The sequence below is a fragment of the Homo sapiens genome, chromosome 21 (genome assembly GCF_000001405.40).
Source record: "Homo sapiens chromosome 21, GRCh38.p14 Primary Assembly".
NCBI classification, from domain to species: domain Eukaryota; kingdom Metazoa; phylum Chordata; class Mammalia; order Primates; family Hominidae; genus Homo; species Homo sapiens.
In genome coordinates this window covers 29,054,653-29,074,773 of record NC_000021.9, presented here as the reverse complement: position 1 = coordinate 29,074,773, position 20,121 = coordinate 29,054,653, and the positions used below count along the sequence as shown (strand labels likewise).

General features: G+C 38.9%; 1 protein-coding gene across 5 annotated transcripts, besides 6 other annotated features; it reads left to right on the top strand.

The window, feature by feature from the left end:
* Positions 231-1,142: an enhancer, noted in NCBI's record as "NANOG-H3K27ac-H3K4me1 hESC enhancer chr21:30445953-30446864 (GRCh37/hg19 assembly coordinates)". NCBI's record gives its function as "activates a minimal SCP1, AML or CMV promoter by ChIP-STARR-seq in primed H9 embryonic stem cells {active_cell/tissue: H9 hESC(primed)}" and the evidence as "EXISTENCE:reporter gene assay evidence [ECO:0000049][PMID:30033119]".
* Positions 901-1,070: an enhancer, noted in NCBI's record as "active region_18332". NCBI's record gives its function as "activates an Ori minimal core promoter by ATAC-STARR-seq in GM12878 lymphoblastoid cells {active_cell/tissue: GM12878}" and the evidence as "EXISTENCE:reporter gene assay evidence [ECO:0000049][PMID:35858748]".
* CCT8 (chaperonin containing TCP1 subunit 8) lies at positions 1,126-18,448 on the top strand. Of its 5 annotated transcripts, NM_001282907.2 has the most exons (16): positions 1,126-1,514; positions 2,786-2,822; positions 4,437-4,527; positions 5,272-5,351; positions 7,069-7,218; positions 7,703-7,883; positions 7,997-8,058; positions 9,669-9,806; positions 11,244-11,422; positions 12,218-12,284; positions 12,359-12,446; positions 12,531-12,646; positions 13,207-13,278; positions 13,357-13,521; positions 14,114-14,233; positions 18,222-18,448. In NM_001282907.2, exons 2-16 carry the CDS (start codon positions 2,820-2,822, stop codon positions 18,297-18,299), a joined length of 1,590 nt encoding a protein of 529 aa, NP_001269836.1. In that variant the 5' UTR covers positions 1,126-1,514; positions 2,786-2,819; the 3' UTR covers positions 18,300-18,448. The 5 variants fall into 5 exon arrangements, with proteins under 5 accessions (NP_001269836.1, NP_006576.2, NP_001269837.1 ...); NM_006585.4 differs by lacking the exon at positions 2,786-2,822 and having other exon boundaries at positions 1,126-1,243; NM_001282908.2 differs by lacking the exon at positions 2,786-2,822 and having other exon boundaries at positions 1,126-1,268.
* Positions 1,143-2,054: an enhancer, noted in NCBI's record as "NANOG-H3K27ac-H3K4me1 hESC enhancer chr21:30445041-30445952 (GRCh37/hg19 assembly coordinates)". NCBI's record gives its function as "activates a minimal SCP1, AML or CMV promoter by ChIP-STARR-seq in primed H9 embryonic stem cells {active_cell/tissue: H9 hESC(primed)}" and the evidence as "EXISTENCE:reporter gene assay evidence [ECO:0000049][PMID:30033119]".
* Positions 1,521-1,690: an enhancer, noted in NCBI's record as "active region_18331". NCBI's record gives its function as "activates an Ori minimal core promoter by ATAC-STARR-seq in GM12878 lymphoblastoid cells {active_cell/tissue: GM12878}" and the evidence as "EXISTENCE:reporter gene assay evidence [ECO:0000049][PMID:35858748]".
* Positions 9,482-9,591: an enhancer, noted in NCBI's record as "active region_18330". NCBI's record gives its function as "activates an Ori minimal core promoter by ATAC-STARR-seq in GM12878 lymphoblastoid cells {active_cell/tissue: GM12878}" and the evidence as "EXISTENCE:reporter gene assay evidence [ECO:0000049][PMID:35858748]".
* Positions 9,612-9,841: an enhancer, noted in NCBI's record as "active region_18329". NCBI's record gives its function as "activates an Ori minimal core promoter by ATAC-STARR-seq in GM12878 lymphoblastoid cells {active_cell/tissue: GM12878}" and the evidence as "EXISTENCE:reporter gene assay evidence [ECO:0000049][PMID:35858748]".
* Positions 18,449-20,121: the final 1,673 nt, after the last annotated feature.

The window sequence follows — 20,121 nt, the reverse complement described above, 5'->3', positions numbered from 1 at the left end:
TTTTTTTTTTTTGAGACAGGGCCTCACTCTTGCCCAGGCTGGAGTGCAGTGGCATGATCTCAGCTCACTGCTGCCTCAACCTCCCAGGCTCAAGCAGATCCTCCAACCTTAGCCTCCCAAGCAGCTGAGACTACAGGTGCATGCCACCAAGCCAAAGGGATTTATATTTATCTATAAATTCATATATAAATCAGATATATTTATATAAAATGTGTATATTATATATATAAATCAGATAAATAAATATGTATTTATATCTGATCTTAAAAGAGTAAAAGGGATTTATATTCCCAGGAAGAAGTAGAAAAGAGGAATATAGATAGTGGTTAAGAACCGGCATTTTGCAATAAGTCTGATCTAGATAGGAATTCTAGCTTTAATATTTACTAGCTCTGTGATCTTGGGAAAATTATTTACAGTTTGTGAACTTCAGTTTCCCTTCTACAAAATAGAGACAGTACCATTTAATTTTTAATTTTTAATGGTATCGTCTCCATTTTATGGAAGGAAAACTAAATGGTATTTTAACCGACAATTCATTAATTTTTAAGACTGACCATTAACAGAGATACTGCATGTAAAGCAGATCACACAGAATATGGCACACTTGAGCACTTGATGTGTACTACATTACTCTTAGTGACGACTTTAATTATCGTGCGCATTCCCAGCGCTTCCTATGGTGCCCAACACAGAGCGGACGCCTAGAGACAATTTTGGGGGATGGGGCAGATGCTCTGCCTCGGGAAAAAAAAAGCACACCTGCCCTGACGTTGGTGGCTGGGTCTGGAAGATACGTGGAAATTAAGCTAAGGATGTGTGGCTTCCAGATCAAAAACCGCAAAAATCTAACGCCGTGACTACTGACTACGGTCAGAGAGCACAGACTGGAGCAACCTCTCACGGCCTGGGCTGTCTGCGCGTGCGTGAGCCAGAAACCCGAGGGGCTCCCTGGGCCCGCCCTATCGATCGACCCGATCGGGGATCGTCAGCTTGGTTCTGGCCACAGAGGTTGCTCTTCTCGCGATGCTTCAGACCTGGCGGCAGGGAAAGGGTGGGCTAATTGGAGAGCCAGGAAGAGCGTGAGGCGGCCCCACGCTGCTTTCCCAGAAGGCTGTGCGTGCTCCTCGCTTCCTCCGCGGTCTTCCGAGCGGTCGCGTGAACTGCTTCCTGCAGGCTGGCCATGGCGCTTCACGTTCCCAAGGCTCCGGGCTTTGCCCAGATGCTCAAGGAGGGAGCGAAAGTAAGGGCTGAAGGAAAGGAATGAGGTGGGAGCGTCAGCATAGGGCTGCGGCGGCCGCGGCGAAGTAGGAGGGCCTACTAACGGGCTGAGCGTGCTGCCCTGGCTCAGCGGCCGGGGGAAGAGAAGATTCCAGAAAGGGAGGTGATTTTGGAAGGGCTCGGCCACCGGAGCCTGCGGGCACTTCTCTTCTTCCGCGACCGGGAGAAGGCCGAGGGATCGGCGGCACGATCGACATTGTACACCTTGAAGGTGGACGGATGTGAAGCCGCGCGTGCGTTTTGCCTCCATCCGTAAATGGGGCTAAGGCCCGTCACCCTTAAAGGAGGTTGTGAGGGTGAAATTGAATAACGTAGATGAAATTGTCTTGAGAACTGCGACGTCGATTATCACATAGCTCGCGAGTTGTAGGATGGGGAAGAACGAGAACTAGCCGATCCAGAGAAGAGAGTGGGAAAAAGGGCCGGGTCTTGGTTGCTTGCTTCCCAGTGAGAAACATACGGCTTTCAGCTTAGTTGACAGAAGCCATGCGTTGTAGCCAAATGAGTTCCGGTCCCAACTTATGTTAGCTGGCTTAATCTAAAATGTAACTTTCTTGGGTTTTGTTTCCTTCGTCTTTAAATTATGGAGATTGGACCAAGAGGTGGTGTCTTTGAGTTCTGTGTAATCTGCAGGATAAGTGATAGAGGGGTGCAGATAACACTTTTGTTTAATGGCCTTTTCTTGAACGTTAGTTCGGTAGCATAGTTTTAAAAAATATCTTACTGCACTATTGATAAATTTGTCTCTTGTGCTATTCAAATTGCATTCCTCTGTGTGTCCTCCAGATTTTGTTAATTCAAGAAATAGATCAGTGTGGTTGAATTTAAGGTTTTATGCGAGGTACGGGGAGCATTAACAGTTTAATAGAACTAGGTTCATGTTTGTAGGATGCACTTTTCAAATAATGTCGGTATAGTAAGTAAATGTCAGGGTTCAAGGTAAATGTTGGTGGAATAATCTTTTGAAAATGATATGGGCTGATTCCCTTGAAAAAATCAGGCTGAGATAATAGCTTCCAATTTGGGTTTTTTTCACTAATACAGTTTTGGAAAACTCGTGTATCACAAAACATTATTTGTCATTCCAGTGCTAGTAGTTTTTTACAGAACACTGAGCTATTTCTTTCAATAAATAGGTACTGAAGGAACTGCAGTGAAAGACAAAAGTCCCATTTGTCGTAGAGTTTATGTCCTTCTAAGGCAGAAATAATGATTAAATAAAAGGAGAATTCCAAATAATGATGAAAGAAACTGCACTATAGTAGAGGATGACAGGAGGTAAAAATGTCTGTAAAAGAAGGATCAGGAATAGACAGAACACTTAGACGTTTAGGGAAGAACTCTTAGCTCAGTGCTTAGTGAGAGAAGCCCCTGAGCCTGGGCTGTTTCCCCCGACCTCTTACTTAGGGGGAAATGCCAGGCTCAGGGACTAACTAGTACAAAGACCCTGAGGAAGGAATGATTTTGACCTGTTTTTTTTTTAAAACAACAACAACAACAACAGGTTGTAGGGCTGAAGCTTACCAAAGAAAGGAAGAATGGTAAGTTCAGAGGAGGAGCCATACAAGGGCCGGGATACGTAGGGCCTTGTTTCCTTGAAAAGGGATTTGCATTTTATCCTAAGCTGGTTGGGAAACCATTGAAGGGTCTTAAGTATGGGAATGAGGGGATCTGATCAAATGGTAGTTTCTCACAGAATGGGGAGTGAGGGGAAGAAGCAAGAGTGTAAGCCAGGAGTTCAGACTTAAGTGTTATTGCTGGAATAACAGTTCTTATTGCTGAAGATGCTTTTAAAGCAGTGGCTATTGGCAGGGGTTGGTGGCTCACACCTGTAATCCCAACACTGGGGAGGCCGAGGTCAGTGGATCACTTGAGGCCAGGAGTTCCTGGCCAACATGGTGAAACTCCGCCTCTCAAAAAAATACAAAAAAAACCAACCTGGTGTGGCGCGCACCTCTAATCCCAGCTACTCAGGAGGCTGAGCCTCCAGAATTGCTTGAACCCGGGAGGCCCAGGTTGCAGTGAGCTGAGATCGTGCCACGATCTCAGCTCACTGCACTCCAGCCTGAGCGATAGAGGAGACTCTCTCTCTCTCAAAAAAGAGTAATGGCTATTAACCTTGGTTTTGGATCACAAAATCATGGCTTGTATTGTAAAGCAGTACTATGTAAATAGAACTTTTTGCAGTGCTGGACATACGCTGTATCAGCGCTGTCCAGTGTGATATTCACTACCCACATGTAGCTACTGGGCATTTGAACTGTGGCTCCTGCAATTGAGGAACTGAATTTTTTAATTTTAATTACTTGAAAGTTTATTTTGATTGCTTTCACTAGCCCCATGTATGTAGCTAGTGGCTACTGTATTGGGCAGCGCTTCTCTAAAGAAATGTTCTCATGCACAGTAGATTAGTGAAATATATCTGAGGACCCAAGTAAACCTCAACTCTAAAAAAGTCCAGTGTAGAATTTGTGAGAATTTTTAGTACCGTGAGCAGTTCGCTTTTCAATACATATACATTGGGATAATGTTGCAATTCAAAAAAAGTATTCAGTCTCTAAACACTTCAGTGGCACATACTTAAAGAACTTCTGGCTTTACAAAAGCCCAGATTCTAACACAATAAGAATATTCCACATTTCAACAGTTAGTTAGAAAATACTGATAAATTCTGGAAAGGTATTCTACTTGAAGTACCTCATACCCTTTCTCTAATTAGTCTTAGCATGGTTCCCTGTACTTTTCACTACTTTTAATAAAAAAAATTTTAAGTCTTTTGATGTGTAAGTAGGTACCTGCGGTCCCCCAAAATGTTATACTTTATTCATTCAACTAGAGAGGAAATGTATGCATCATTTATGAATATCAAATGCTGTGTTTTACATTAAAAAATCTTGTTTGATTGTCTCAACAATCCTATGAGTTAGGTACTATTATAATTACTTCATTTTATAATGAAGAAATGTTAAGAAAATTGCCCAAATTTAAAAAGAGCCAGAAAGCTAAGATTTGCAACCAGCCCTCTTGTGCCAAATACCTAAGCTATGCTCCCTCTTTATTAGAGGCAAGATATAAGCAAAGATATCTTGTATTTGAAATTTTTGTTTCACTGTCCTGTCTAATTAGCGGGGTTTTTTGTTTGTTTTTTTTAACAGCACTTTTCAGGATTAGAAGAGGCTGTGTATAGAAACATACAAGCTTGCAAGGAGCTTGCCCAAACCACTCGTACAGCATATGGACCAAATGGTAATTTCTAAATTAATATTTGTAAAGATACAGTAGTAGAATATTGTGTACTACGTCTTCTTTCAGACTTGTTCTGAGGATGTTATGGTATGACTTCGGAAGTTAATTTGATAGCTCAATGATAGTTCATTTCCAATTTTTAGTTATTTCTAATTTTCAATCAACTCACATCTCTTTAGAAAAATGGGGGTCAATATATTACTTTTTATCCTGTTGAGAGGATAGAAAAATTATAACACTTTGACTAGTAAGATAGTACCTAATGTTCATTCTGACAAACACTAAATATAAAAGTGACATAGTTTAAGGAAGAAAATTCTCTCCTTCCTCTTGCCTTCTACCACCAATTAAATTTAAATGATACAGTTTCATGGAATAAACATACAACTAAATATACTAAGTAGATTATTTTGGCCTTTTTACATGTTAATTTCTGTTGAGCACTTGCTGCATGACAGTCATGTTGCAAACAGAAGATAGAAATTGGCAAAAATGTGAGATTTGGCATCTTACGTAGTAAATATTGTAGGACATTAGAAAGGGAAGAAAGAATATGGGTCTGCAGTCAGAGAATGCCCATGGGGCTATAAGATAAACTTGAAGAATAGATAGTATGTGTTTTCTTGCAAAGCTCTTTTTTTAATATACAAATTTATAATTTCTTAACTAGATTTTCCTGGGTATTTGGGGAAGGATTTGATTAATAATGGCTTTCTTTTTCTTTTTTTAACTGTTACTTTTGAGGAATGAACAAAATGGTTATCAACCACTTGGAGAAGTTGTTTGTGACAAACGATGCAGCAACTATTTTAAGAGAACTAGAAGTAAGTTGTTTCTTTAAAAAGTCAAGAAATATTTTGGTGACATCAAAATTAAGTAGATTTTAACTAGAAGAAATCTCTTATTTCAGATTGGATAAGGGACTATTTTTCCAGCTTGAAAATTTATTGTACAGATTGTTCTAATTATAAAGAGTCCTCTTTAGATTGAATGTTTTAGCCACTGAAATCTTAAAAATCTCTCAAGTTATTAATTTATGGAGGGATTGGTTGTGATACATTGCTAATTACGATATGAAATTGATTACCATTGTCTTCATTCTATAGGGTGACTCTGAAGTGAATTATTCCACAGTGCAAAAACGTATACATATAACAGTGGTTTTTAAAAAGATCCAACCATTTGGTTTTGTGAAAATAAAAACAATCAGTTGATGGCATTTTACTTTGTTCAGCTTTAGTTTTACTATTAGAATCTATAAAATAGATACTGCCTGCCAGCAGGGTTATAAGGAAGGTCTGGCACCTGAACAGGCAGAGAGAGCCATTCCTCATTCCCGCCTTGTAATTAAAGGATAACATATTCAACCTCAGGGAATTTTCCTGAAGCTTAGCCCTTGAAAGCACTAGAACTTAATCTTTTGTTTTAAATGAAACGATAGAAGAATCAACATTTTTCTAACCTCTTAAATAATATATTTTTGGTTGGACGCGGTGGCTCACGCCTGTAATCCCACCACTTTGGGAGGTCAAGGCAGGCGGATCACCTAAGGTCAGGAGTTTGAGACTAGCCTGGCCAACATGGTGAAACCCCATCTCTACTAAAAATACAGAAACAAAATCAGCCGGGCGTGGTGGCACACACCTGTAGTTCCAGCTACTCAGTAGGCTAGGGCAGGAGAATTGCTTGAACCTGGGAGGCGGAGGTTGCAATGAGCCAAGATCGCGCCACTGCACTCCAGCCTGGGCGACAGAGCAAGACTCCATCTCAAAAAAGAAAAAAAAATACATATTATATATATAAATTCTTAAAGAACTTAAGTTAAAAGTTAAATTTTAACTCCACAAAACACTTGTACAAGGGTTTGTCACTGTGAATGTTAATGTTGCACACTGATGATCTCAGGAGTTATTAAAGTACAGTGGTGATACCGTCAAAATAATAAAATCACAGGGCTGACTTTTTATAGTTTTCTTGTTGCTCTCAGTTCTTACTCCTTGGCTTGTTTCTGTAAAGGTATCTAAAATTAAATCCTAAGAATAAAATCCACATAAAATTATGTTATATTTGAAGAAAAGTTTTATACTCCCCCTTTTCTTTAAATCACAAATGATAACCCTTACAACAAGAATATATAGTAAAATAGATATTGAGAGTCATGACCAAGTTAAGTGGTATCTATTTTAGTTCTCCTGAAGGCTTTTAAAAAATATCTAGGTTTGGTGGTTGTAATTACTTTGTTTTTTAATTTAGTGAAATATGATATGGTGAAACATATGTGTGGCACTGTATGTGCAGGCCACCAAAAGAGGATGCACTTTGAAATTCTTATTTATAGTGATACATTTGTGCTGATCGGCATAAAGGGACTTGGATTTTTTCTTGTGACCACACTATAAGTAGCGTATAGCAGTGTAGCAGTGTGATCAGATGGAGTTACCTAATCTACAAGAAAATTGAGTCTATTTAAGAAATGGAAATGAACAATTTTATGTTGCTTTAAGGATCAGATGTTTAACTTGATATTACCTTTTCTACTAGGTACAGCATCCTGCTGCAAAAATGATTGTAATGGCTTCTCATATGCAAGAGCAAGAAGTTGGAGATGGCACAAACTTTGTTCTGGTATTTGCTGGAGCTCTCCTGGAATTAGCTGAAGAACTTCTGAGGATTGGCCTGTCAGTTTCAGAGGCAAGTGTTCATTTATAATTTACTCCTACTAAATTTTTGCTTACATATACACCTGCTTAAAACATAAACTAAAATCATTATTATAGTAGTAGCTAACATGCACTGAGCAGTTTGCTCTGTACCAGCCATTATAGTACATATGCTTCACATGCTGTATCATTTTAGTCTCACAAAAACCCTATTAGTGAGGCCTTATAATCCCATTTTATCTATTTTTTTTCCCACTTTATTTTAGATGAGAAAAGAGACTAAAATTAGAAAAATCTTGCCCAAGATCTCATAGCTAGTGAGTTAGGTAGAGTTAAGATTCAAATTTGGGCTGTCATCTAAGCCTCCATTCATAACTAGTAGAGTCTACTATATGTTTTATTCCGAAGTATATTCTTTGTCATTTTGTATCAAAAATAAACATCCATATGCATTGGGTTACCAAAATAAGCTACTTTAAGTCATGTCAGAATAGGAAATGTTGTTTATGTTTTAGGTCATAGAAGGTTATGAAATAGCCTGCAGAAAAGCTCATGAGATTCTTCCTAATTTGGTATGTTGTTCTGCAAAAAACCTTCGAGATATTGATGAAGTCTCATCTCTACTTCGTACCTCCATAATGAGTAAACAATATGGTAATGAAGTATTTCTGGCCAAGCTTATTGCTCAGGCATGCGGTAAGTAAATATCAGTAAATGAAAAGATCCAAAATAAAAATACCTTTAACATGACTAGATACTTTCTCTGTTGTCCCAAAATAATCTTTTGATATGTCTCATTTTCTTAACAGTATCTATTTTTCCTGATTCCGGCCATTTCAATGTTGATAACATCAGAGTTTGTAAAATTCTGGTAAGTAGAAAATGCATTAATGCTACATATCTAGGTCAGTTTTTTTGTGTGCTTTTTTTGTTTTTTTGTGCAAAAAAAAAAAAATGTGTTCATCTAAACCTAAATGTTACTTCATGATTTGAACACTTAGGACTTTTTTTGAGGCATTATTTTTATTTATGTACTTATTTATTTTTGAGACGGAGTCTCGCTCTTGTTGCCCAGGTTGGAGTGCAATGACATGACCTCGGCTCACCGCAACCTCCGCCTCCCGGTTCAAGTGATTCTCCAGTCCCAGCCTCCCGAGTAGCTGGGATTACAGGCATGCGCCACCACACCCGGCTAATTTTGTATTTTTAGTAGAGATGGGGTTTCTCCGTGTTGGTCAGGCTGGTCTCGAACTCCCGACCTCAGGTGATCCACCTGCCTTGGCCTCCCAAAGTGCTGGGATTAACAGGCGTGAACCACCGTGCCTGGCCTTTGAGGCATTATTTTGTAACATTTTGATGTTGCTAAGTTGTAATAATACTACTACCTATTTAAGTTTAAAAGGATATTGACATATTATCTCCTTATAAAGTCATTTTCTGTGATGTCTTGTGGGTTTAAGAATAATGTATAAACAAAATACTAAATTTTTTTTTTTTTTTTTTTTGAGATGGAGTCTGGCTCTGTTGCCCAGGTTGGAGTGCAGTGCCTCGACCTCGGCTCACTGCAACCTCCACCTCCCAGGTTCAAGTGGTTTTCCTGCCTCAACCTCCCAAGTAGCTGGATTACAGGTGCATGCCACCATGTCCAGCTAATTTTTGTATTTTTTTAGTAGAGGCAGGGTTTCACCATGTTGGCCAGGCTGGTCTCGAACTCCTGACCTCATGATCTGCCCACCTTGGCCTCCCAAAGTGCTGAGATTACAGGTGTGAGCCACCGCGCCCAGCGCAAAATACTAATTTTTTTGTGTTCTTCATAATACTCTGAATTATAATAAGCTTATAAGACAGTTTTGAGTGGGGTGGAAATCGTCCTATTCCTCTTCAATAATAGAATTCACACTTTAATGTTAGTATTGAAATATTAAAGTATATTTTTGATAAAATGTGCTTGATAGAGTAAAACCTATCAGTGGAATGGTTTTGGTTTTGCACATTGGCATTCTGATTGTTAATGTGAATTTAGCATAACATAAGTACATGTGCTTTCCCTGAAGATACTCACGTGTTCTATGTTTGCTGTCTCCCTCCACGTACTGCCAGCTTTTCCCATTAAATGCAACCTTGTGAGAACAGAATCTTTGCTTTGTTCTGTGTTGTATTTGCAGTACTGACAGCTGTGGCTGGTATATTGGCACCAAGTACTAGGTAACTGAATGGCTAAGACCAGTTCTCTGCCTTTGGTTCTTCCCAGTACATGGAAGGACCTCCCCTCCCTAAAAGTAGCTCATTCCCTCAGTGATTTCTGCCTCGAGCAGAAGGGTGTGCTGTATGTCCACCACTCCACCCCTTATCCCAGGAGTCACTGCCTTGGTTTATGACTTTATTTTAGAAAGGGATATTTTTGGTATATGGAGAATCAACAGTTTGACCGTAATGTTATTTTCAGGAGATTGCTGATGAGTTTGGTATTCAATTCCTTAGGGCTCTGGTATCAGTTCCTCTTCAGTATTGCATGGCATGGTTTTTAAGAAGGAAACCGAAGGTGATGTAACATCTGTCAAAGATGCAAAAATAGCAGTGTACTCTTGTCCTTTTGATGGCATGATAACAGAAACTAAGGTATGTAGACTTCAAACCTTAAAAGTAATAATTGGGGTTGCACTTTCAGATTGTTTGAGTTAGCTCTTAAACCAGTAAGTACTTCTTAAAAAACTGAACATTGCAGGATCTTACCTATTTTTTTATGCCAGATTTATAGTCTTCAAATATCTAATTCAACTACTGAACATTAAACTGGAAATATAAAGATGGTGGCCGTATTATTTATAATCTGACACACAGCCCTTCTAGTAGAGCTTATACATTCAGCAAGTGAAAGAATATGAGAATGTGAGTATTTTGTGTGCTCTTCACGAAAATAAAGTTGACATTCTGTAGCATCCTAAAACAAGATAAGCTAATGTAATTTGAAAATGGTAAGTATGTTTCTAAAAATACATGTTAGAAAGTTTGAAGTTTGTGTTTATAGTCAATAGTGGCTGACTTCATCTCTAGAATTCTTGAAATCCAAGTTGTTGATAGTTTTAAAATTTTGTAGCATGAGGGGGGTCTGGTCATTTGGTCCATATTTTATTTTATTGTATTTTATTCTTTTTTTTTTTTTTTTTTTTTTTTTTTAGAGTCTTGCTTTGTCACCCAGGCTTGAGTCCAGTGGTACAATCTTGGCTCCCTGCAACCTCCGCCTCCTGGGTTCAAGTGATCTCTGGCTAATTTTTGTATTTTTAATAGAGACAAAGTTTCACCATGTTGGCCAGACTGGTCTCCAACTCCTGACTGCAAGTGATCCACCCGCCTTGGCCTCCCAGAGTGCTAGGATTACAGGCATGAGCCACCGCGCCCGGCCTAGTCCACATTTTAGAAAAAGTTTGAGAACCACAATGTTGTATTGGGAACACTAGTTAGCCTTTGTCAAAAGACAAACACCAGGACACCTACCTACCTGACATATTTAAAATAAAAGCACTTCTCGGCCGGGCACGGTATCTCACGCCTGTAATCCCAGCATAGGCCAAGGCAGGCAAATCACGAGGTCAGGAGTTCAAGACCAGCCTGGCCAACATGGTGAAACCCCGTCTCTACTAAAAATGCAAAAATTAGCTGGGCGTGGTGGCGCTTGCCTGTAATCCCAGCTACTTGGGAGGCTGAGGCAGGAGAATCGCTTGAACCAGGGAGTCAGAGGTTGCGGTGAGCCGAGATCCTGCCTGCACTCCAGCATGGTGACAGAGTGAGACTCTGTCTCAAAATAAATAAATAGATAAAAGTACTTTTCCACCTAAGTACTTATCAAAAGCAGATGCATCTGTTTTGACAGGGGGTTCTAGAAGCAAGCTGAGTTTCTATTTCACACATACAGTATTCTGCTGCTTCATAATATATGCACATATATCTTCATATTTTTTTGCCAAACCTTTATTTCTTCAGTCAACTATTATCTAATGACTTTGAACACCAACGTAGTGAAATGATTTTAAAGGGAATGTTTACTTGTTTTGCCAGGGAACAGTGTTGATAAAGACTGCTGAAGAATTGATGAATTTTAGTAAGGGAGAAGAAAACCTCATGGATGCACAAGTCAAAGCTATTGCTGATACTGGTGCAAATGTCGTAGTAACAGGTGGCAAAGTGGCAGACATGGCTCTTCATTATGCAAATAAATATAATATCATGTTAGTGAGGTAAGAAAAAGCCGATTTTTTTTTTTACCTATATCATAAATGGTTTTTTGGTGGTGAAAACACTAAACGAAATAGACCATGAAGACTGTTAATAAAGGGAAAGTAAAGGTACTAGGTCAAATAGCAGAAGGATTTAGTTTGGGGAGGGGTCAGGAAACACCTCTGAGAAAACATAAATTTAAGCTGAGAGCTTGAAGAACCAATTACCAGATAATTGAAGAGGGAAAAGCATTCCAGGCAAAAGGAACAACTTGTCCAAGAGACTAGACACAAGCTTGGTGCATTGCCTATCAGAGTATGGAGTCAGGAAGATCCCTTTTAATCCATGAACACATTTATGGTGCACACTAGACAACTTAACCCATTTCTACCTACCACCATCCCTAGTACCTAATAAAATGTGCAAAATAAATCACTCTTGTTCACAGAACATTGATTGCACAAAGTAAAGCAAAAATTTTCTATATGCTGTTGAGTTTTGTAAGGGTTTCTCTGGTGTTTTAGAACTATAAACCACTGACATCCTAAAGTGACTTCCATTCTCCCAATTCTAGAACAATGCCATACAACACAGGCTTAAGATGTGGTACTATTGGCCAGCTGGACTCACTCAGAGAGTCAGGAATCAGCTTCCTGGCCTTAGTGTTCATTGCAATCCAGACATGTTCTGAGTTAAAATCCATTGTCAAAGGAATGTGACATGGGGGCTGGTATACAGGTTCCTCTTTAATTTGAACTTTATATGCTATCTGAAATTGATTAAAACTTTTATTAAGGTCTTTGTGTTTTTTAAAGGCTAAACTCAAAATGGGATCTCCGAAGACTTTGTAAAACTGTTGGTGCTACAGCTCTTCCTAGATTGGTATGTATTTTGGAAAACACTAAAAGATAGTTGAACAAGATGGAATTTTTATTACAACAGTCACTTTCTTACAGACACCTCCTGTCCTTGAAGAAATGGGACACTGTGACAGTGTTTACCTCTCAGAAGTTGGAGATACTCAGGTGGTGGTTTTTAAGCATGGTATGTAGGAATGGTAAAACATGTTTAAGTGTAGGGCTTTAGCTTCTTGTATTTAATCACCAAATATATTTAATTTTTTGATAGAAAAGGAAGATGGCGCCATTTCTACCATAGTACTTCGAGGCTCTACAGACAATCTGATGGATGACATAGAAAGGGCAGTAGACGATGGTGTTAATACTTTCAAAGTTCTTACAAGGGTCAGTATCAGCAATATTCTTAGTAGTTTGTAAGGTCTGAGTAATTTGTATGGTCTTAAAAGTACAGTTTGCAGACTCTTGCACATCATGAGAACTTCAGAATGAGTGGTTTATATGAAATGAAGCACCTGTTTTTGTTTTTACCTAAGACTTAAGTGTCCATTGTTAGTGAATATGATAGTTTCCAAAAAAGATTGTACAGAGGAGTTAACAGCAAAACAGAGCTTTAAAAAAAATTGTTTATCGTTGTTTTCCATTGTAATGTACTGTTAGTTGCTAAAGCAGTTCTTAGTGCTATATCTGTGGATATGCAAAAATGATACGGTACTATTCCCATTCTTCACTTTGGTCCTTTTCATACACCAGACACTGTGCACTAAGAAAATTTGCCCCACCCACTCATTTTTACCAAATTTGTAATATGTATTTGAGTAACAATGACTGATAAAAACTCCTGTTTGGTGGGGTACTGGAATGTGAAAAGATTAGAAAACTGCAAACTGATTTTTAGTGAATTTGTTTTGTGTTCATTTTTTTTTTGGTGGGGGCGCTACATACAGGATAAACGTCTTGTACCCGGAGGTGGAGCAACAGAAATTGAATTAGCCAAACAGATCACATCATATGGAGAGGTACAGCTTTTTCTGTATAAATTGACTTTCTTTCCATTGCTTGAATAAAAGACAGTAATTAACGCATTTTTGTTTTAGACATGTCCTGGACTTGAACAGTATGCTATTAAGAAGTTTGCTGAGGCATTTGAAGCTATTCCCCGCGCACTGGCAGAAAACTCTGGAGTTAAGGCCAATGAAGTAATCTCTAAACTTTATGCAGTACATCAAGAAGGAAATAAAAACGTTGGATTAGATATTGAGGTATTTGAAAAAACACTGAACTTAAATTGCTTTATTTGGGGAATGCACAACCTAAAAATAGTATGAGTTTAAAAGAAATATCAATGAGAAACAGTGTTCTGATTTGGGAGCAGATTATTTTCTTAGTTTTTACATAGGTTGTCTGATGGAGGAACGTTTCATTTTCCTTCTGTTTTATTGATAGTCTTTTGTTCTGTAGTGTGTAGTCAGCCCAGTTCTGTATCCATTGATTCAACCAACCACAGATTGAAAATATTTGGAAAAACTAAAGACATTTAAAAATACACTATAACAACTATTTACACTATGTTATATAATTAATCTGGAGACGATTTAAAGTATATGAGAGGATGTGCATAGATTATATCCAAACACCATGCCATTTTATGTAAGGGATTTGAGCATCCACAGATTTTGGCATCCTTGGAGGTGCTAGAACCAATCCTCACATACTAAAGGATGACTCTATAAGGTAGGACTGTGCTTGGTTACTTTCCAGTACTATTTAAGGAGCTATGTGAGGCTTTTTGTGGGTGTAAACATTTTCACATAAAAGGATTTTAAATGAAAGGATGAAAATTGTGTTTGACAGGCTGAAGTCCCTGCTGTAAAGGACATGCTGGAAGCTGGTATTCTAGATACTTACCTGGGAAAATATTGGGCTATCAAACTCGCTACTAATGCTGCAGTCACTGTACTTAGAGTGGATCAGGTGAGCAAAGTGAAATTTTGATCTTTAAAAATACTCATTTGCATACTGTTTAATAGTATATTTTCCCAGAACTAGAACATAGCATAGTTCTAATTCAAAGGATTCTTAGTCCTCACCTATTAGAGATACTATGTGCCCCCCTCCAATTTTTTTCTTCTATTATAAATTGTATTGAATATATAACTTTCAAACCTTTTAGCCTTAGAACCCATTTGTACAAATAATTTAGAGAGTAAATTTAATATATAATACTAACATGGAATTTGGAAGGACCATAAAGCTCTCAAGCAGACATTGCAGACCACCAGCTTGAAGGAAAATGGAGTCTCTAGCTGTCTGCAGATAAGAGGACTGGGCATTGAAAATTTTTTCTGCTATGACAAATTACAGCTTGAGATACTAAAAGATGTTAAAGGTGTTTAAAATCATATTTCTACCCTTTTTTTTTTTTTTTTGAAGAATTGTGGTAGACTGTTCTATATATAGAAGTAAACCTGAAATCATAATTATTTTTCCAAAAGGTATTTTCTGGCAAACTTAATTAAATACATTTCCCCACAAAATTCTAGAAGTAATTAATAAGCAATGACTATTTATAAGTACTTAATAGAAAATTTTAATTTGCTAGAGGGACAGTATACATCCATTAGGTAAAAGTCATATGTCATATTAAAGGTGGAGTAAGTCCTAAGTAGAAATCAGTGGAAAGACATTTCAGCTTTTAAGTACAGTAAGGACCAGTTGGTGGTAATTATAACAAATTTATTGGAAGAACTATGATAGCAAGAGATGACCAAAAATGGAACTGGATATTTAGTTTCAAGTCATTGAAAATAAGCAGAAACTAGATGTTTATGTACCAGATTAACGGGTTTCTCTGTCAGCTTATTAGGTGATTTTCAATGGAAGAATATGTTTGAGTTCTTAAATAGAAACCTAAGAAAATACTTATTCTAGAAATTAGAATGTGGCTAAGAATAAAAGGGGAAACCAAAAATAGCAGGGACGGAAGAAGCTAAGTAGACTGCAGCATAAGGAACGCAGAAATTCCAACTGTGTTAGGAACTTTGAATGTCAATTATTCAAGCAAGACAATAACCACCACCCTTGGTCACAAAGGCAGTTTGAATTTTGGCTTTAAACTAGGAAGTCTGCTTTATCTTATGGTAGGGGAAGTTGTTGGTTGATCTGTTCCCCCAGTCTTTGCACTCTATGTGAAGTATGTATCTAAAGAACCCATCCAACTGTATTAACCAGTTTGTGTATATAGTGTATAGTATAATGAACCTAAATTTGTATAGTATATATTCTAGAAAAGGAATTGCACATCAAGCTTTAAGCATTGGATAGTGTAGTACGGACTGGATTAATCTTTGTTGGAATGTCTATTTCACTAGTTCTCAAAGTATGGTCCCAAAATAGTATCAACATCACCTGAGAACTTGTTAGAATGACAGTTCTCAGCCAGGTATGGTGGCTCACACCTGTAGTCCCAGCTACGCAGGAGGCTGAGGTGGGAGGATCACTTGAGCCCAGGAGTTGAAGGCTGCAGTGAGCTGTGATCACATCATGGCACTCCAGCCTGGTTGACAGAGTGACACTCCATCTTTTAAAAAACTAAAAATAAATAAGAAATACAGATTCTTGGAGGCCAGGCGCGGTGGCTCACGCCTGTAATCCCAGCACTTTGGGAGGCCAAGGCAGGAGGATCACGAGGTCAGGAGGTTGAGACCATCCTGGCTAACATGGTGAAATCCCGTCTCTACTAAAAAAAACAAAAAATTAGCTGGGCGTGGTGGCAGATGCCTGTAGTCCCAGCTACTCGGGAGGCTGAGGCAGGAGCATGGCATGAACCTGGGAGGTGGAGCCTGCAGTGAGTAGAGATGGCACCACTGTACTCCAGCCTGGGCGACAGAGCAAGACTCCATCTCAAAAAAAAAAAAAAAAGAAGAAATACAGATTCTCAGATGTCACTCCAGACCCACCAATATCAGAAATGCTGGAAGAGGCCTAGCAGTCTGTTTTAATGAGCACTTTTGATTATGGTGCCCACTAAAGTTTGGGAACTACTTGTTTTAGTGTTTGTTTCTTTTTTTTCTTTGAGATGGAGTCTTGCTCTGTCACCAGGCTGGAGTGCAGTGGTGTGATCTCAGCTTACTGCAACCGCCACCTCCCAGGTTCAAGCAATTCTGCTGCATCAGCCTCCCGAGTAGCTGGGACTACAGGCGCATGCCACCATGCCCACCTAATTTTTTTTTGTATTTTTAGTAGAGACGGGGTTTCACCATGTTGGCCAGGATGGTCTCGATCTCTTGACCTCGTGATCTGTCCGCCTTGGCCTCCCAAAGTGCTGGGATTACAGGCATGAGCCACCACACCCAGCTTTTAGTTACTTTTTAAAATCAATGTGCACTTAGGTTCTAAAATTATGCTTAATGCCTTTAATTCAGTCTGAAATTACTCTCAATTGGTAACATGTTATTCTGAGAATTTCAGGTTTAGGTATCTTTTTTGTTGTTGTTGTGATAAGGTCTTACTCTATCACCCAGGCTGGAGGACAGTGGCACAATCATAATCAGCTCACCACAGCCTCAAAATCCTGAGTTCCAGTGATTCTTCTGCCTTAACATCCCGAATAGCTGGGACTGTAGGCAGGTGCTGTCATGGTTGGCTGAGATATATATCATATATATCTGATATGTATATATCACACATATCATATGTATATATCATACATATGTATATATCATACATATCTCATATATATCATATATATCTCATATCATACATATACATGATATATATATCATACATATATGTATGATATATATTATATATGATATATGTATGATATATGTATCGTATATATGATACATATATCATATATATATTATCAAATGTTATATATATATTTTATATATATATATATTTTTAGTTTTTGTAGACTAGGTCTCACTTTGTTGCCCAGGCTGGTCTCAAACTCCTGGCCTCAAACCTTGGCCTCCCAAAGTGCTAGGATTACAGGCATGAGCCACTGCCCAGTTCAGGTTTGCAGATGGTAATTAAGATGTTTTCCAGCCGAGCGCAGTGGCTCACACCTATAATCCCAACACTTTGGGAGGCTGAGGCGGGTGGATCATGCAGGAGTTTGAGACCAGCCTGGCCAACGTGGTGAAACCCCGTCTCTACTAAAAGTAAAAACTTAGCCGGGCATGGTGATGGGCACCTGTAATCCCAGTTACTCAGGAGGCTGAGGCAGGAGAATTGCTTGAACCCAGGAGGCAGAGGTTGCATTGAGCCAAGATCGCGCCACTGCACTCTCTAGCCTGGGCAACAGAGCAAGACTCCGTCTCAAAAAGAAAAAAAAAAAAAAAGCTAAAACCTATTTATTTTAGATAAAGTAAGGTGAGGTTTGTGGCGCTTTTTTTTTTAAGTTGGGAACTTAGATTTTTGTTTATGAAAATTCCTGGCTGCTTGAATGATTCTCATTTACAGGTTTTAGAAAATTTCAGTGTTAAACTTTGTATATACTTATGTATCAACTACTTTAGATTATAATGGCAAAGCTGGCAGGTGGGCCTAAAGCTCCTAAACCACAAGGAAATTGGGACAGAGATGGTTGGCAAGACACATCTCATATATAAATAGCAAATCAGGTGCCAAACTGACCGACTTACACCAGTGATGCATGCACATATTTTCACTTTCAGCTTTTTGAGTTATTGAAGTGCATGTCTTGGAATGTTCACTAATCTCTGTGGATTTTATTGCGGTTATCCATAAAAGCAGTAAACTTTCTCATGCGCTGAAAGTTTACAATTGAATTTCTAACAAGGGAGCTAGCAAACTCTGTGCTGTAGTGTTTTATATGCAGTACATAATTATACCAAGAAGACTGCTTAATCTTAAATCATGCTAATAGAAGCATTCTTTTCATTCTAAAGGTTAAGTTGATAAGCATACTCTTGTGTGATTCTTTTTTATGCAGATCATCATGGCAAAACCAGCTGGTGGGCCCAAGCCTCCAAGTGGGAAGAAAGACTGGGATGATGACCAAAATGATTGAAATTGGCTTAATTTTTACTGTAGGTGAAGGCTGTATTTGTAGTAGTACTCAAGAATCACCTGATGTTTTCTTATTCTCCTTAAATTAAGAGTTATTTTGTGTTTGTATTCTTGGCTGGATGTTATAATAAACATATTGTTACTGTCAAAGCCTTATTGTCTAATGACCACGGTTATTGGCTCTAAATGACTTGTGTTCCTCTCAACCTTGTTAATCACATTAGCTGTGGGACTTAAGGCAAGTCACTTATGTAAGTAGAGGCCTATTACCCATGTATATCTGGCCTACTGCCTGTTTGTGTAAATAAGTTATTGGAACACAGCCATGCTCATACCATTACATATTGTCTGCAGTTGCTTTCTAACAAGGGAGTGGCAGAGTTAAGTATCTTTATTTTTGACAGAGACCAAATGGGCCTACAAAGCCTAAAATATTTACTATCTGGCCCTCTACAGGAAAGTGCTGCCAACACCTGGACTAGATTTCCAGTGTTTTTGTCACAGCTCTGGAATTCCTGACTCAAGGTGACTTGTTTCAATAGCAATTAATAATTTGTTGAAGACACTCGACTTAGCAAAGTACAAAAAAAATGCTTAGAAAATAGATAAACTGACATACAAAATTAAGTCAGTTTTCATAAAGCAGATTCTATTTTGTTAAAATCAGTAAGGAGTGTTGAAAAAGCCAAGAACATTATAAATAAATTATTATAAATAATCATACTGAATTTTATAGGACATGTGCTACTATATGTGTTGGTTATGTAAGGTCCTTAATACTGTTTGAAATTGTGTGTGTATGTATTTCTTGAGACAGGGTGTTGCTCTGTCGCACAGGCAGTGGTAAAATCTCAGCTCACTGCAACCTCTGCTGTTGGGCTCAGGCAATCCACCCACCTCCGCCTCCTGAAAAGCTGGGGACACAGGCAAACACTACCACATTTGGCTAATTTTTAAGTTTTTTGTAGAGATAGGGTCTCACTATGTTACCCAGGCTGGTCTCAAACTCCTGGGCTCAACGTTTCCTACTGCCTTGACCTCCCAGAGTCCTGGGATTACAAGCATAAGCCACCGCACCAGCCTGTTTTTAGTATTCTTTCCAAGAGATTTTAGAAGCAGTATGACTGACTGGGTATTACATAAACTCAACAGGTGTTTGTTAGGAATGATACAACTCTCATTACTGCCACAGCAAGTTAGAAATGTTCATCGTATGTCGAAGTTGTCCTCAGAGAACCTTTCAAGAAGTTCAGAGACGCTTGGTGTCCCTAAGCTCTTTGTGTTGCATGTAACTCAAACAGTGGCTGACTTGGGACAGTTCACAGGCTTTCTCTGGTATGCTGGTATTAAGGGGTTTGGTACCCAATTATACTCATAGGAGTGAGACTGGTTTGTCTTACATCTGTCCAAAATCAGTTGACCACTGGCACAGAGCAAATACAGAGTAAGGCCTTGTATACCCCAGCTTATGCACACTATGGCATCAGAAGGCTTATAAAGAAACATTGCTCCCATTTATATTCTGCTGTCAATATAGATGCTTATAAAATTAACACACTTGTATGGCCCAGCGCGGTGGCTCAAGCCTGTAATCCCAGCACTTTGGGAGGCCAAGGCAGGTGGATCACGAGGTCAGGAGATCGAGACCATCCTGGCTAACACGGTGAAACCCTGTCTCTACTAAAAATACAAATAATTAGCTGGGCGTGGTGGCGGGCGCCTGTAGTCCCAGCTGCTCGGGAGGCTGAGACAGGAGAATGGCGTGAACCTAGGAGGCAGAGCTTGCAGTAAGCTGAGATCGCACCACTGCACTCCAGCCTGGG

Coding starts and splice junctions, on each gene's coding strand:
- CCT8 (NM_006585.4), top strand. CDS start 1,184: ATGGCGCTTCACGTTCCCAAGGCTCCGGGCTTTGCCCAGATGCTCAAG. Junction 8,059..9,668: donor TCAGAGTTTGTAAAATTCTG/GTAAGTAGAAAA, acceptor TCAATTCCTTAG/GGCTCTGGTATCAGTTCCTC. Junction 11,423..12,217: donor TATAATATCATGTTAGTGAG/GTAAGAAAAAGC, acceptor TGTTTTTTAAAG/GCTAAACTCAAAATGGGATC.